The 15,584-nt window shown below is 54.3% G+C and overlaps 1 protein-coding gene across 36 annotated transcripts in view, besides 1 other annotated feature; it reads right to left on the bottom strand.

The window, feature by feature from the left end:
- Positions 1-15,584, bottom strand: part of TBCD (tubulin folding cofactor D) — a 193,850-nt gene that overhangs the window by 33,452 nt on the left and 144,814 nt on the right. For 28 of the 36 annotated variants that reach the window (NM_005993.5, NM_001411101.1, XM_047436617.1 and 25 more), the window contains 6 exons: positions 11,732-11,812; positions 8,985-9,058; positions 6,410-6,527; positions 4,642-4,702; positions 3,156-3,178; positions 674-705 (listed from right to left, as the gene is read on the bottom strand). In NM_005993.5, the coding sequence (NP_005984.3) occupies positions 674-705; positions 3,156-3,178; positions 4,642-4,702; positions 6,410-6,527; positions 8,985-9,058; positions 11,732-11,812 (389 nt within the window). The remainder of the gene's footprint in view (positions 1-673; positions 706-3,155; positions 3,179-4,641; positions 4,703-6,409; positions 6,528-8,984; positions 9,059-11,731; positions 11,813-15,584) is intronic. The other 8 variants (NM_001411102.1, XM_047436615.1, XM_047436622.1 and 5 more) reach the window with 2 other exon arrangements.
- Positions 13,195-13,696: an enhancer, noted in NCBI's record as "H3K27ac-H3K4me1 hESC enhancer chr17:80856643-80857144 (GRCh37/hg19 assembly coordinates)". NCBI's record gives its function as "activates a minimal SCP1, AML or CMV promoter by ChIP-STARR-seq in primed H9 embryonic stem cells {active_cell/tissue: H9 hESC(primed)}" and the evidence as "EXISTENCE:reporter gene assay evidence [ECO:0000049][PMID:30033119]".

Here is a 15,584-nt window from a genome sequence, read left to right as displayed (position 1 = left end):
CATCAGGAATGTCTATGAAATCAGGCTTTTCCTTTAATACTCTGTGGAACAGTCTAAAATGTGTTCTACGCTTCCCTCCTCCTCACATGCTAAAAAAGAATCAGCAAAGAAAAAATGCCCGACTGTCCTAACCCCCGGGGGGTATCAGAGGCTTGGGAATCAGGCGCAGAGGTTCGCCTGGACTCGGGTGTGTAAGGAGCTTCGCCTCTGCTCAGCTTTCCTCTTGCCCCCGCCTGAGCTTCCTGTGCTCGCCCAAAACGGCTCTTGGTCCCTGCGCTGCTCAGTCCACAGGGCACGACCAGGGCTGCTCTGTCCACGCTGGGGCCGTGCTCGGAGGGATCTGCAATGTCCACTGGGTCCACAGGCAAGCACTGGCCCCACTGCCCCAGCTGCCTCTGCTTCCTGAGAAATTTCCAGAACCAGTGGCTCCTGGGTGCAACCCCTCCCAGCTCACAACTTCCTCTTTCTCTCTCTCAATCTCAATCTCTCAATCTCTCCCTCGTAGGAACCACTGGACAAACCAAGCACATCACAGATGCCGCCTCCACAGAAGAAACACACCCAGCCCTTCACCCTGGGGGCTAATGGGCCGCCCTGCACGCCACGAGCACACCTCCCTCAACGATGGCTGCGGCAAAGGGCTGCAGAGGGCTGCAAAGGCCTTCAGACTTACCTGCTTGTCTCATGAGCTGTCCTCCCAGACCCCTGAAAAGGAATGAAAACATCAGAATTAGAAGAACCTCTTGACGTATAAAACACCATGAAATATGCTTGCCAATGTAACCTCAGGCTCCAAAAAGCATTAAAATGAGAACTAGTTGAATGTGTTACTGAGCATGAGCAACCTTTTATGAAAAGAAAGGAAAAAACGTGGTACAGCCATCTTCCAGAGGTCTCCCATCCTAGCTGGGGTGATGCTGATTTTTAATTTTTACTGGACATTCTAGTCCTGACTGGTATCCCATCACAGAACTAATTCCAAGCAGCGCTCAGCTCTTACTTTATAGAAACTAATCTCAGATGCCAGAAAGAGCCCCCTATCCAGCCTAGAGAAGCAGTGCACTGCGGTTCTACCATGAGCGAAGCTAGGCGGAGCTCCGGGCTGCTCTGCCCATCTGGGACACCTGCCCCAGCCCTGGCGCTGACAGCGGGACCCTGGTGCACAAGGGCAGGCGCGCTGCCCTGGGGAGGGCAAAATATTCACTCCTGAGACCCTGGTTTCTGGCCCACACAGAGTGGCAGGGTTGGATGTCCCCTCCTGCAAGTAGAAAACTGGACAGAATGCAACATATGAAATGCTGGCTCCAACACCAGGAGGTGAAGAGTACAGGACTGAGGCCCAAGGCAGGGGTCCTCCAGTACCCCAAGGAGCACCTGAAGGAGCCCTCCAGGCCCAGTGTGTGGGGTGGAGCCCAAACAGGGCCACCCGCCCTGCTGACTGAGGAGGTGGCCAGAAACTGGTGGGAGCAGCCAAGGGACCTCTTGGGAGCAGCCTGGAAGGACTAGGAGGCAGAAAGGGAGGCTTCACCCCTCGAAGGTAAAGGAGAACAGCACGAGGTTCACTACCCCACACAAGTCCCAGTAAAAAGCCACTAGGAGGCTGGGCGCGGTGGCTCAGCCTGTAATCCCAGCACTGTGGAAGGCCGAGGCGGGCGGATCGCTTCAGGTCAGGAGTGCAAGACCAGCCTGGCCAACATGGTGAAACCCCGTCTCTCCTAAAAATACAAAAATTAGGTGGGCATGATGGGGGGCACCTGTAGTCCCAGCTACCCGGGAGGCTGAGACAGGAGAGTCGCTTGAACGTGGGAGGTGAGCTTGCAGTGAGCCGACATGCTGCCACTGCACTCCAGCCTGGGCGACAGAGTGAGACTGCTTCTCCAAAAAAAAAAAGTCACTAAGAGAAAAGAAAAGTGAACCACAGAGCTGGAGAAAGCACTGGCAGATCCTGTGTGTGACAAAGAGCTGGCATCTGGAATATATGAAGAGTTCTAACAGCTCAATAAGACAGACGATAAAATTTTTAATGAGCAAAAAGTCTGAACTTTTTAATGAGCAAAAAACTTCACGAAAGACCCAGGAATGCTTCGTCAGCACAGGGAAAGAGGCTCAGCACCAGGAGCCCTGGGGAGAGGCAGACTCCAGCAGCAGCGAGAGGCCTCTACTCACCCAGAGGGCCCACGTTCAGAGCCGACCACACCAAGGGGTCACTTGTGGATGGGGACGTGCAGCAGCAGGGTCTGGGAAGTTGGCTCGGCTGCTGAGAAGTCACACATGTGCCCCACACCCTGCGATGCTGCTCCTGGTAGTCAGCCAGGAAACGTGAAACGTACCAAGACTTGTACGTCTAGATGTGCACAGCAGCTTCCCTACAATAGCCAAAGGCTGGAAACCCAGATGAGCCTGGGCTGGTGAGTGGATAACACGGCGCCGTACATGCACACCACGGAACACACAGCAACACAGGTATCTCAAAGACACGTCGGGGAAGAAACCACACCCAAAGGCTTCCTACTGTGTGACACCCTCGGTAGCAAATTCTAGAAAAAGCAAAGCAATCTGTCAGAGCAGACAGGCTGCCTGGGCTGCAAAGGCACAGAGGGAAACCCTCAGGGAGGCACCCGGCCAGATCTCGGGGTTGGGGAGGCCACACCCCTGCCTATGACCAGCAAGTCCTGGGAACGAGGAAACGCGATGACACCTGCAGAGCTGAAAACCTAACCAGGTCAGAACCTCACGCGCCTCCCACAGCGGGCCGGGTGACACCCGCTCAACCCAATCACACAACCAGGTCAGACCCTCACGCGCCTCCCACAGCGGGCCGGGTGACACCCACTCAACCCAATCACACAACCAGGTCAGACCCTCATGCGCCTCCCACAGCGGGCCGGGTGACACCCACCCGCTCAACCCAAACACACAACCAGGTCAGACCCTCATGCACCTCCCACAGTGGGCCAGGTGACACCCACTCAACCCAATCACACAACCAGGTCAGACCCTCATGCGCCTCCCACAGCGGGCCGGGTGACACCCACCCGCTCAACCCAAACACACATAGGCAGAGAGGGAAGCGAACACACCCGCCCCGCCTGCTCCTGACAGCGCAGTTCTTCATTAGGACACAGATATAAGAACTTTGGTTTTGTAAAGCTCACCTGTATAACTGACGATCATAGAGCTGAAAATAAAAAACTGAAAGTTATTTAATGATTTAAATTTTAAAATAATACGTATACGTTAACAACTGTCAAAAACAAGAACAAAGAGAAAATGGCAGAAGATGCCATGCCAGCCAGGAGAGCCGCCTAGGGGGCTGAGGACGGAGGCCCACCTACTGACGCAGATGGCCTTGTTTAACCTCCAGACAGGCCCAGAGCTCCCTTGAAGGGGAAACTGAGGCACAGAGAGAGGGAGGAGAGGGCCAGAGTAGGGAGCTGGAGCCACCTGCATTCTGGCCCCAGAGACCGACGTAGAACCCACCCAGGCAGCCTCTTGTGCAGAAAAGTAACTGTGCCAAACAGGATGCTGATGTTTCTTTTTTTGTAAGAGAGCTTAAAAGCCACGTTGTGATGGCCACTACAACTAAAATTTACTGAATGCTCACACTGTCCCAAAAATTCTCCTCAATTCTTTAAAATGTATTCTTTAATTCTCACAAAAACTCAAGGAGATCGGCTCTATTACTGCTTATATTTTACTGAAAAAAGGGAGCCATGGCTCAGCGTCAGTGGGGAGGCCACGTTCATGGCTGCTGCCCGGGGCCACCTCCCCGTCTGCACTCTGCAGCCATGCTTGTCTCGGTCAGAGGGGGAGGCCAGACACCACATTAAAAGTGAAAAATGTAAGCAAACAAAATGGCTTTGCCAAAATCATAATGAAAGTTAATGGCAAAAATAGGATAAGAATCCGAGCTGAATCTTAAAGAATATAAAGCTATCTGGACAACAGACAAGTAAACCACGTAATCCCTCGTGAACAATTTTTATATTCTCCTGTAACACCAAGATCCATAGTTCATACTTTACCTCTGGGTCACAGAAGCCTTTGAGAATCTCTCAAAGCCCAGAAAGATGAACACACTGTCTCCCCAGAGAAATCCGACAGACGCACACACAAAATTCTGCTTTACTTTCAGGAGACATCAGACCCCAGCTGCAGATGCACGGCTGGAAACCAGAGGCTTCTGTGCTCGTTCTGTGTGCCCCCAACTCCACCAGGAGAGCACGGGGCCCAATGCCCCCACCCAGAGTTGGCTGCACGCTCCATCGTGGGACCGCAGCCGCGCGCCCCGGAGGGAAACCACACTCCAGCTGCAGCCGAAACCTCCACCGACTGCACTAGCTTCATAAGCCTTCCTCAGAGACCAAGGACATGCTGGCTACGTGCACAGAAAGTCTGCACTCATTTCCTAGGAGTCTCTTCCCCTCCCAGGGCAACCCTCCAAGGTGGCTGTTCACAAGCATGACGCCAGCAGAGAGCCTGTTCCCAGAGTGATCACACCGCAGGTCCCCCACTGAGCCCAGGACTGATGGAGCACAGTGGCCACCAGGACTGCAGACCCTGCCTGGGGAGGGTGGGAGGCCCTAAGGGGGCAGGTCCTGTGATGCCTCCTGAGGGTACACCCAGAGGCTGCACACAAACCTGCTGGTGAATCTGCTTCAGGCCCTGCACTGCCTGCTCGTCCAGATGGTCCGTGACGGGCCTGCAGAAGTTCAAACACAGAGCTGAAGTCACACTCCCCAAGACCCTAACCCCGAGTACACTCGGAGGAGCTGAGGCCACACTCCCCAAGACCCTAACCCCAAGTACACTCGGAGGAGCATAGGCTCAGCAAGGTCTCATTCTTGTTCAGGTCCCAGTGGGTCCCAGAGACCTCTGCAGGACATACCTCCGATTATTTTTGTATTCTACTGTATTGTTTTACATTGCATTCTTTTGTTATTTTAGAGATGGGGTCTCACTATGTTGCCCAGGCTGGTCTCAAACTCCTGGGCCCTAACAATCCCCCCACCTCCGCCTCCTAAATAGCTGGGATTACAGGCGTGAGCCACTATGCCTGGCCCATTTGTGATTTTAGATGAAGCAGTGCCTGGTCAAAGGAAGAGGATGTTAGGGCATCCCCTTAAAGCTGTGACCCCTGCCAATGTGACCACCTTGGAAAACAGACAGGTCCAGGTGAGGCTGAGACGACAGCTCATGTCCACTGACATCCAAGGGAAGGTCCCTGGCGAGATCAGACCTGGGCTGGCATGCGGGGGCCTGGACCAAGCCCTGCCTCATGAGGCCCCCTCACTGGCTCAATCTGCGCAAACCGTGTGCTTTACGCTGGCACCTGCTTTCCTGCTGGGGGTCTGGAATTTTGTTTCGTGCCAGGCGGAGGTGCCCACGTGGCCAGACCCCAGTCTAGCCTGGGCACTGAGGCTCAAATGTGCTTCCCTGATAGACACCTCACAGGTGTGGTCACATCTCACTGCTGGGGGAATGACACAGGCCCTGTGGGACCCGACTGGAGGACCCTGGGAGCTCCCGCCTGGTTCTCCCCAGACCCCACCCCATGTGCCTTCTTCCACAACCACAGAGCAGCGCCATAAAGGCCAGGTCTTGCACGGGCATCAGCTGCACCCACACGAGCGAGCGTCCCTGAAGGAGCTGCACTCTGCATCTGAGCTCGGGGCCGACCAGAGCTTCCTCAGGCTTGGGCGGGAGGTGGGCCCATACCCTGCTCTCAACCCGTTCCCAGGGAACTGTCTCCAGCACAGGGCATGAACTTAAAAACGTTTCTTAAACTGGAGTCCGAGAAGCAGGTTGCCGTCACTATGGTAAGTCCGGGAGTTCTTACTCTTGAGGAAGACTCGACTGGGAAGAAACGTAAGACGACAGTCGATGCCTTACAGCCTCCTGCACACAACTTCCCAGTGACCCCATGTTTTTCATGCTTTATTATTATTTGTACAAACATAGCCAACTGAAAAATTCAAAAGAAACGTGTATATTCTCTGGCATTTTAAACTATGGAACGTGATGAAGAAAGGATACTGAACATGCAAGTCGCTCAATGCCGTCTTGGAAAAAGGACCTTTGCTGTTATGACCTCGCTTGTCACCTCTGAGACCAGGAGGTGCACAAGGAGGCAGCAGGGGCAGGACAGCCGTGGGGAGATGCCCGGCCCATCCGGGTGCTGCACCCGCCCCGCTGAAGAGGTGGGTGGTCCACCCACGGCATGACCGTCAGGAGAGAGGGCCACTTACACACTCCATCAATACAACCTGGGGCCTATCGACTGTGACACTGGTGCAGATAAACAAAAATGAGAAGGGATGAGAGAGTCTCGAACTGGAGAGCACTGTGATTACATGGTGAGGGGATCAGGGACAGAGCCCTGTGTCTCCTCGAGACCCACTCTTCCTACCTGTTCTCTTGGGCTGCAAGTTTGTACAAGGCGTAAGCAACTTCTGCGCAGGCGAGAATCGACCCATGCCTCATGTGAAGATCTGGACTCAGTGTCATGGACAGCAGCCTCGGGAAGACTGCAAGAGACAGGGCCGAGAGGGCAGGTGAGGGTGTGTACATGTGGACGGCCTGTGGGAAGCCCACACGCACCCACACAGGGCCGGGAGGGCAGGCGACGGCGTGCACACACGGACGGCCTGTGGGAAGCCCACACGCACCCACACAGGGCCGGGAGGGCAGGCGACGGCGTGCACACACGGACGACCTGTGGGAAGCCCACACGCACCCACACAGGGCCGGGAGGGCAGGCGACGGCGTGCACACACGGACGACCTGTGGGAAGCCCACACGCACCCACACAGGGCCGGGAGGGCAGGCGACGGCGTGCACACACGGACGACCTGTGGGAAGCCCACACGCACCCACACAGGGCCGGGAGGGCAGGTGACGGCGTGCACACACGGACGACCTGTGGGAAGCCCACACGCACCCACACAGGGCCGGGAGGGCAGGCGACGGCGTGCACACACGGACGACCTGTGGGACGCCCACACGCACCCGCCCACACTGGCATCCCTCAGGGTCATCACCCCAGTGCCCAGGACGGCACCCGTGGTGATGCAGATGGCCCCTGAGACACCAAGGGCAACAGGACGGAGGCTGCGGTGTGCTGGACATGGCCCGCTCCCAAGTGCCCCAGACGGGGTGGGTAACTCAGACAGGAGAGGGAGCATGGAGGAGGACGACACACTCCCCAGGCCTTCCCTGTCGGTGTAGGGTGGCCTCTGGTCCTGGCAGGAGCTCTGCCTGGCTGCCTGGGCGGTGGAGGGGGCGGAGCAGGACAGAGGCAGGGCTGCCCCCAGGGGTGGTGCCTCTACTCTGAGTTTGCTCAGAAAGCACAGACTCCTCAGAACCCTCACGGACGCAGAGGGAGGCGGCTCTGCCACACCTGCGTGGGGAAACCAAGCTCCCCGAGCCTAAGCCTCCCCAAGTGCTGCCAGGCTTGCGATGGTTTGAGAATCAGAGAGGCTAAGATGTGGCGGCTGGGGGTGATCGGATTTTCGAGAATCAGAGAAATCTACAAAAGGTCACAGTCCTGTTCTGGGTGTCCGTGCTCTTCAACCGGGTGGAGGACAAAGCTGAGCCCCCTCAGTGTCAGCAAGGGTTAATTATCACTGAAAAGTAGGGGAGCGCCACACTAAACCCGTGACGTGGATGCCTCATTAACAGATCACGAAGCTGAAAGATCCCTTAGGAATGAACGAGCCCCCACAGGATGTTCAACACAGGCGTCACATCAGTAACTCCACTGAAGAGCCACAATCCAGCCTCCAGTGTAGCCCCTGTAATAAATGTCGGGGGAGTGACGGTACACACATTGAGAAATGTGTGTATTCTTCCCCACATTTAAGTCAGATGATTATTTATTCCAAGTAGAAAAAAACAAGACAGAACAAACAGGATTTCTCTCTTCACTGATGAAGTGTAAGAAGTGCAGACTTAGCTGAGCCATTCCAAGGTGATGTTAGTCCTGGGCAGACTTTGAGTCTCCCATTCAGGCCTTTTCTTTCTATACACGCTGCCCAATTCCAAAGTGCATTCACGTGTGGCAGGTGCAAGCCACCTAGAGACCAGGGAGCGTCGTGTGGCAGATGGAAGCCACCTAGAGACCAAGGAGTGTCGTGTGGCAGGTGCAAGCCACCTAGAGACCAGGGAGTGTCGTGTGGCAGATGGAAGCCACCTAGAGACCAAGGAGTGTCATGTGGCAGGTGCAAGCCACCTAGAGACCAAGGAGTGTCGTGTGGCAGGTGCATGCCAACCAGAGACCAGGGAGTGTCGTGTGGCAGATGGAAGCCACCTAGAGACCAAGGAGTGTCGTGTGGCAGGTGCATGCCAACCAGAGACCAGGGAGTGTCGTGTGGCAGGTGCGAGCCACCTAGAGACCAGGGAGTGTCGTGTGGCAGGTGCGAGCCACCTAGAGACCAGGGAGTGTCGTGTGGCAGGTGCGAGCCACCTAGAGACCAGGGAGTGTCGTGTGGCAGGTGCGAGCCACCTAGAGACCAGGGAGTGTCGTGTGGCAGGTGCGAGCCACCTAGAGACCAGGGAGTGTCGTGTGGCAGGTGCGAGCCACCTAGAGACCAGGGAGTGTCGTGTGGCAGGTGCGAGCCACCTAGAGACCAGGGAGTGTCGTGTGGCAGGTGCGAGCCACCTAGAGACCAGGGAGTGTCGTGTGGCAGGTGCGAGCCACCTAGAGACCAGGGAAGCAGCACTGCATGTCAGGCATCCGGCGGGACCATCACGGGCTCCGGTGTACGTAACACAGTTCAGCGGCTCCCTGCCCTGCAGGCGGACACACTCACCGCATCCGTCCTCACAGCCTATCCACTGATCAAGTCCACAGCTCTTTCCTCAGATGCTTCTCACCAAGACAGAAGCACAACCTTATTTTCAGCCCCCAGCCTTTGAAACCAGCAACCCAGGCCTTTCTGCAGTGCATGCATGGTGCCCGCAGGCCGGCCGGGACACACACCCACCTTGCGTGGCGCTGAACTCGGGTGCCTGCTGGGCCAGGTTGTGCAGCGCCCTCGCAGCCAACTCTCGGATGACCCTGAGAGTGAGGAGAGAATGTCGTAAGTGCCTTCATTTTATGATTCTAGCTTTATTCAATTCATAAAAAGAAAGTGAGGGAGACAACACACGAGTCCTCAACCGGCCACTTAGCAGAGGCTCACTCACTCACTCACACGAACCAGTACAAGAACCTCCGACTCCAACAGACGACAAGGACAGTCTACAACAGCGAGGTCACACGGCTAACCACGGTTCTTCTTGGGACACAGCTGCCTTTCCTTCTCAGGGCCAGGTGGCAATTGGGTGTCCGGCCTCCCCACCCCCACGCTACTCTGAGGTTGTGAGTGTGAGATAGAGCCACGTGAAACCACCCCTCCACGATTACAAGGGGTGAACAGAAGGAATTTCCTGAGGCTCACCCACCAAATCTGGGGCACATATCCAATAACTGCCTCATCAGACACACACTGAAAGCACCCATGGTTGAACATGCGGACCGCGAAAGGCTGACCCAGGACCGGCTCAAGAGGCTGGAGCCCCTCCTGAGCCCACCCCTCCTTCCAGAGCTCCATGCAGAGGCAGATGGTCAAGCTGGGAGCGACCCGCAGAGCTCATGCCCCAGCCCCTCCAGACCCAGCTGGAGCAGCAAGTGGTCCTGACTTAAAATCATCATGAGGGCGACCATGTAACAACAAAGAAGCAAAATGTGAAGGTGAAAACATGCAGAAGGCGGGTGTCTGTCCTCTAATTATTTAAAAACACCAAACCCACAGCACCACAGTGAAACCAGGCACAATGGCAGACGCCCGCGCTGGCAGGACCACCTGCCACAGCCCCTCTGGTGTCGGCCGAGGGCCCTGCTCAGGGTCCACTTCTAACGGTAAACAAAGAGCTCTTCGAGGCAGGTGGCGTCTCATGTGCCAGGACTCCACACCCTGAGCGACACCCAACTGCATGCTGTCTAGAAGACCATCGCCTGCAACTCTGAGGGAACAGAAAAGACAAAGCACCTGAGAAGCGGAGGCAATGCAGTCTGCAGCCGCAAGCCCAGCCCGAGGCCTCTTCGCGTAAGGACGGCCCTCAGCTAAGAATGGTTTTCACATTTTTCAAGGGTTACATAAACTAAATAAAATAAACTAAAGCAAAGCGTATGGAACAGAGATCTACCACGTTTATCCAGCCCCTCAAAGAAAAGGCTTGCCAACTCAGGTACTACACCAGTCATCAGTTACTTTAAGGCAAGAAATCTCACACGAGACAATGAGGGCCGTTCCGCAAAGATAAAGGGTCAATACATTAGGAAGAGACAAAAAGCGAAAGTGTATCTGCCTCCAATAAGTGACCCCGCCCAAAACACGTGAAGGAAAGGCCGACAGAACTGAGGCAGAGACAGACAGCAACAGCTGGAGAGTCCCACAGCTCCGACGCCACGGGCATATGTACCAGCTGGAGAGTCCCACAGCTCCGACGCTACGGGCATATATCTGTAACTTTGGTTTTAAAGACGTTATTGACTAATCGGCTGATACAACTGACAAATTAATTAATTTTCCCTAGGTTCGGTTTAGGGGACCTTGTACCTAATGGAGAGAGTTTTGGTGTAACATTTGCAGGGACACCCCGAGTCTCAGGAATTCACACCCCTCTCTGTAAGCGAATGAAGGGAGGGTCTTCCCCCGGCAGCCCGAGTGCTACCCAGGAGTTCCTTTCCCAGAGGCTCCCAGTCCTGAGGGCCCTGCCTGGACCACAGTAGGCAGCCGGGCCGCTCCCCAGGCAGCAGGACCACGGCAGGTAGCCGGGCCGCTCCCCAGGAAGCAGGACCACAGTAGGCAGCTGGGCCGCTCCCCAGGCAGCAGGACCACCGCAGGTAGCCGGGCCGCTCCCCAGGAAGCAGGACCAATAGTAGGCAGCAGGACCACAGTAGGCAGCCGGGCCGCTCCCCAGGCAGCAGGACCACGGCAGGCAGCCGGGCCGCTCCCCAGGCAGCAGCAAACGCATCCCCCATGGATCAGAAAGGACCCCCTCCACATCACACCAACTCTGAAACTGAGATTCTGGACTCGCACCCTCACAAAGCCACCTCCACCCACAGGCACCTACCGCTCCTCGAGGCTCCGTGAGGAGTGCCACAGCACGGCACTGTCCTAGGAGGGGACCCTCTGACCTCCTCAGGGCGGCGGTCACAGCACTAACGCGCTGTTTATGCTCCAGACCGCACTTCACTTTTCCTTTCTGAGACACATTTAACTGCCTATGAAATGCAAGGAAACCCTGAAGCTGCTACTGTAATGATGAAAACGGCCACTAAGAACTGCTGGGCTCCCAGGAGACAGCGCAGAAACCACCTGTGGAGCCACATGGAGCAGAGTCAGCGGGAAGCACTGCTGAGGGAGACAACGCAGAGTCCGCCTCCAAGCTACGCCCGCGCCCCCTCGGACGGCAGCGGCACTCCACAACACGCCAGCGTGGACATTTGCACGGGTACACCGCCACGTCGGACACACTGGACCAGGCGCTCCAGAAGTGGAACTGGAGACAGACCATGACTCAACACATCCGGCATGAAGACTGGAATTCATATTACTTCTCAGAAGTTATTTTAAAATACGACATCCACAGTGAGAAAATACACTCAAGGCTTATAAGCTCAACTGAATCTCTCCTTTGGGGGGAAAAAAAGCTCTTAGAAAAACAAAAACAGAAAACCTACCCATCCCAGTGGCTGATCTTCATGGTAACCAGGTGGTCTATCATTGGCTGCGTGTACTCAGGAAAGCCGGCAATAAACACACTGGAAAAGACAGCATGGAGAGGTGGTGAGACGCGGAAGAACGAGAACTCACTGCCTGTGGGTGGGAATTCAGCACAGTTACTTTCAAAACCAGTTTGCCCATTTCTTCAAATCTACCACGTGATCCAGCCATTCCCTCCTGAGCAGTTACCCAAAAGAAAAGAGCATCTGTGCACACACGGGCTTTACACAAACGTGCACACAGCTTCATGTGTAACGGCGAAATCTGGAAACCACCCTGACATCATCCACGGGGAAAACAAACCGTGGTTGATCCACACAATCGAATACTCAGCAACAACACACACAATCTGAATCTCAACTACCCTAAGCCAAAGAAGACTGACAAAATGAGTGCACACAGCTTTGTTTCATTCACACAAAATTCAAGGACGTGCAAAAAACTCATCTACACCCACAGAGGCAGATCAGGGGCCTCAGGGTGGGGGAGGACCGAGGCGGGAATTACAAGGAGCAGACATGGGGGGGCTCCAGGGTGATGGCTGTGCTCAGGCCTCCGTCACACACAGGAAGCTGTGCGCTCTGGTTAGTGTGTGCCAGCTGCACTTCAGTAAAGCCCTGCACTCCATATACAGCTAACATATGCCCATTATACCTCGGCAAAGCTGTTAAAAACTTTTAAGAAAATCAAAAGGCAAACCGACTTGTAACAGAATATATAAAGATAAACCCCAAACAAAAAATTGATACAAAATTTGTACATAAACATCACAAAAGAAAATAAATAAAAGGCCAATAAACACATGAAAAGATGTCCAACATCAGTATTCAGCCAGGAATGCTAATTGTTAAATCGTTACCCCCACTCGAATGGGTAAATTTTAAAAGACTGGTAAATACCAAGCGTTGGCACAGATGTGGGAAAACCAGAGGCTGCATACGTTCTGGTGAAAGTACAAGATTATACAGCCACTTTGCAAAACAGTTTGGCAGTTTCTCATAAAGTTAAATATATAAAAATTCTAACTCTTTATCTGAAAGAAATGAAAATACACATCCACATGAAGATGATTTCTAAATAAATATATACAACTGCTTTATTCATCAGAGCCAAAAATTCAAAATAACCTAAATGTCAGGCAAACTCACAGAAAAATTGTATAGCCACAGAACAGTGCACACAACTCACCAACCAAAAGGAGGTGCAGACACACGCGCTGCGGACACACACGCTGAGGACGGGCCCCAGGCGCACGATGCTGAGCAAAGACTCACCAACGAAAAGCAGCTGAGGACACGCGTGCTGAGGACACGTGCGCTGAGGACGCACTGCGGACACGCACTGAGGACACGAGCTGAGGACGCGCGCGCTGAGGACACGTGAGCGGAGGACACACGCACTGAGGACACACGCGCTGAGGACACGCACGCTGAGGACACGTGCGCTGAGGACATGCGCTGAGGACACATGCTGAGGACGCACTGCGGACACGCGCTGAGGACACGAGCCGAGGACGCGCGCACTGCGGACACGCTGAGGACACTAGCGGAGGACACATGCACTGAGGACACACGCGCTGCGGACGGTCCCCAGGCGCACTACGCTGAGCAAAGAACCTGACACACAGGAGTGTGTTCCCTCTGGTTCCATGGATACGACCTTCCCCGAGGGGCAGCCCTGCTCCGCGTCGAGGGCAGGGCAGCAGCACACAGGCTGGGGGGAAGGAGTGTTGGCCGTGGAAGTGGTGGGAGCTCCACTCCCAAGGAAGATGCAGGTGACGCAGGTGGACACACTGTCAGCCCCTCCACAACCGTCCACTCCATACAGGGGCAGCTGAAAGCGTGTAAATTATGTCTCAAAAATAAAAGTTACATCTTGTGAAAACAACACGGAAGACTTTTAAACAATAATCTCTAAGTAGGATATGCCTTTCTAATTATGACTCGAAACCCAGAGCCACAGAAGAAATCGATCCCTACCAACACATATGCCGAACAAAGTCTACCAGGAAAACACCAAAAACAAAGTCAAAAGTCAAACAACAAATCTGAAAAAACAACCGCAACTGATCTTACCAACAGGAGGCTTCCCTAAAATAAACCAGTTCTTCTGAATCAATAAAAAAAAAATAGTGTAGCAGAAATATCATCAAAAAGTTTACAGAAAATACACACACACTTCAACCACTTGAAGCGGTGTTCAGCCTCCTGCACATAGGAAAAGAAAACGAAGCCTCTGCTCAGCTGTCCAACGGCCCAAGCCCCAGGGTCTGCAGCAGAGCTGTGGGAAGCAGCCGTGTGCTCCCACCAAAACCCAGAGCCGTGCCGTGTGCTCCCACCAAAACCCAGAGCCGTGCCGTGTGCTCCCACCAAAACCCAGAGCCGTGCCGTGTGCTCCCACCAAAACCCAGAGCCGTGCCGTGTGCTCCCACCAAAACCCAGAGCCGTGCCGTGTGCTCCCACCAAAACCCAGAGCCGTGCCGTGTGCTCCCACCAAAACCCAGAGCCGTGCCGTGTGCTCCCACCAAAACCCACGGGGGCTCAATGCTCACGAAAACCAGAAAACCAGCCGGGGAGAACAGAGCCATGCCGTGTGCTCACACCAAAACCCAGAGCCATGCCATGTGCTCACACCAAAACCCAGAGCCATGCCGTGTGCTCACACCAAAACCCACAGGGGCTCAATGCTCATGAAAAACAGAAAACCATCGGGGAGAACAGAGCCGTGACGTGTGCTCACACCAAAACCCACGGGGGCTCAATGCTCACTCCAACAGAAAACCAGCCGGGGAGAACAGAGCTGTGCCGTGTGCTCACATCAAAACCCACGGGGGCTCAAAGCCCCTCAAATGTGGGGCGTCCACACAGTGAGAACCACTGAGGAACCCTGAAACACAGGCAGCTGATGAGGCAGGCAGCAGATGAAGGAAGCTACCTGCACGGATTCTAAAACGGGGGAGCCCCAGCGACAGGAGGTCAGTCAGGATGGCGCCTCCTGGAGGGAGGGTCATGTGCACCACACTGACCACAGTGGTGGTCATTCAACAGCTCACATCTGCCAAACCCGCTGCCACACTTAAACCCATATTGAAAACTGGCAATTTTACTATATGTAAACTATATGTAATAAAGTAGATGTACAAAGATAAAGCTGATTTTTTTTTTTTTTTTTGAGACGGAGTCTCATTCTGCTGCCCAGGCTGGAGTGCAGTGGCGCGATTTCGGCTCACTGTAACCTCCGCCTCCCGGGATCAAGTGATTCTCCTGCCTCAGCCTCCCGAGTAGCTGGGATTACAGGGGTGCGCCACCATGCCCGACTAATTTTTGCATTTTTGGTAGAGACGGGGTTTCACCATGTTGGCCAGGATGGTCTCGATCTCTTGACCTCGTGATCTGCCTGCCTGGGTCTCCCAAAGTGCTGGCATTACAGGTGTGAGCCACCGCACCCGGCCCAAAGCTGATTTTTTTTTAAAAAGGCTTTGACTTAGGAATATACAGGATACTGAAAGGGAAAGCCACGGAGCAGGAGGAAATATGTAGCAAGGAAGCATCTGAAAAAGGAATTGTATGCAGAATTCATGAAGAATTCTCAAATTCTCAACAGGAAGAAAACGACTAACCTAATAAGTAAATGGGCGAAAGATGTGTTAAACACGCCCCTGAAATGGATGATGACTGAAACTGCATCATCAGTCACTAGAACACGAGTTAGTCAGCTGCTCCCACACCCCCATGACAATGGCCAAGCTTGAAAGACCAACACCCCAGCACCAGCACGGACCCCAGATCCCGGACCCCGAGCTTGAAAGAC

The sequence above is a fragment of the Homo sapiens genome, chromosome 17 (genome assembly GCF_000001405.40).
Source record: "Homo sapiens chromosome 17, GRCh38.p14 Primary Assembly".
NCBI lineage: Eukaryota > Metazoa > Chordata > Mammalia > Primates > Hominidae > Homo > Homo sapiens.
The sequence above is the reverse complement of the archived record's forward strand: the minus strand, read 5'-3'. Positions and strand labels throughout refer to the sequence as shown.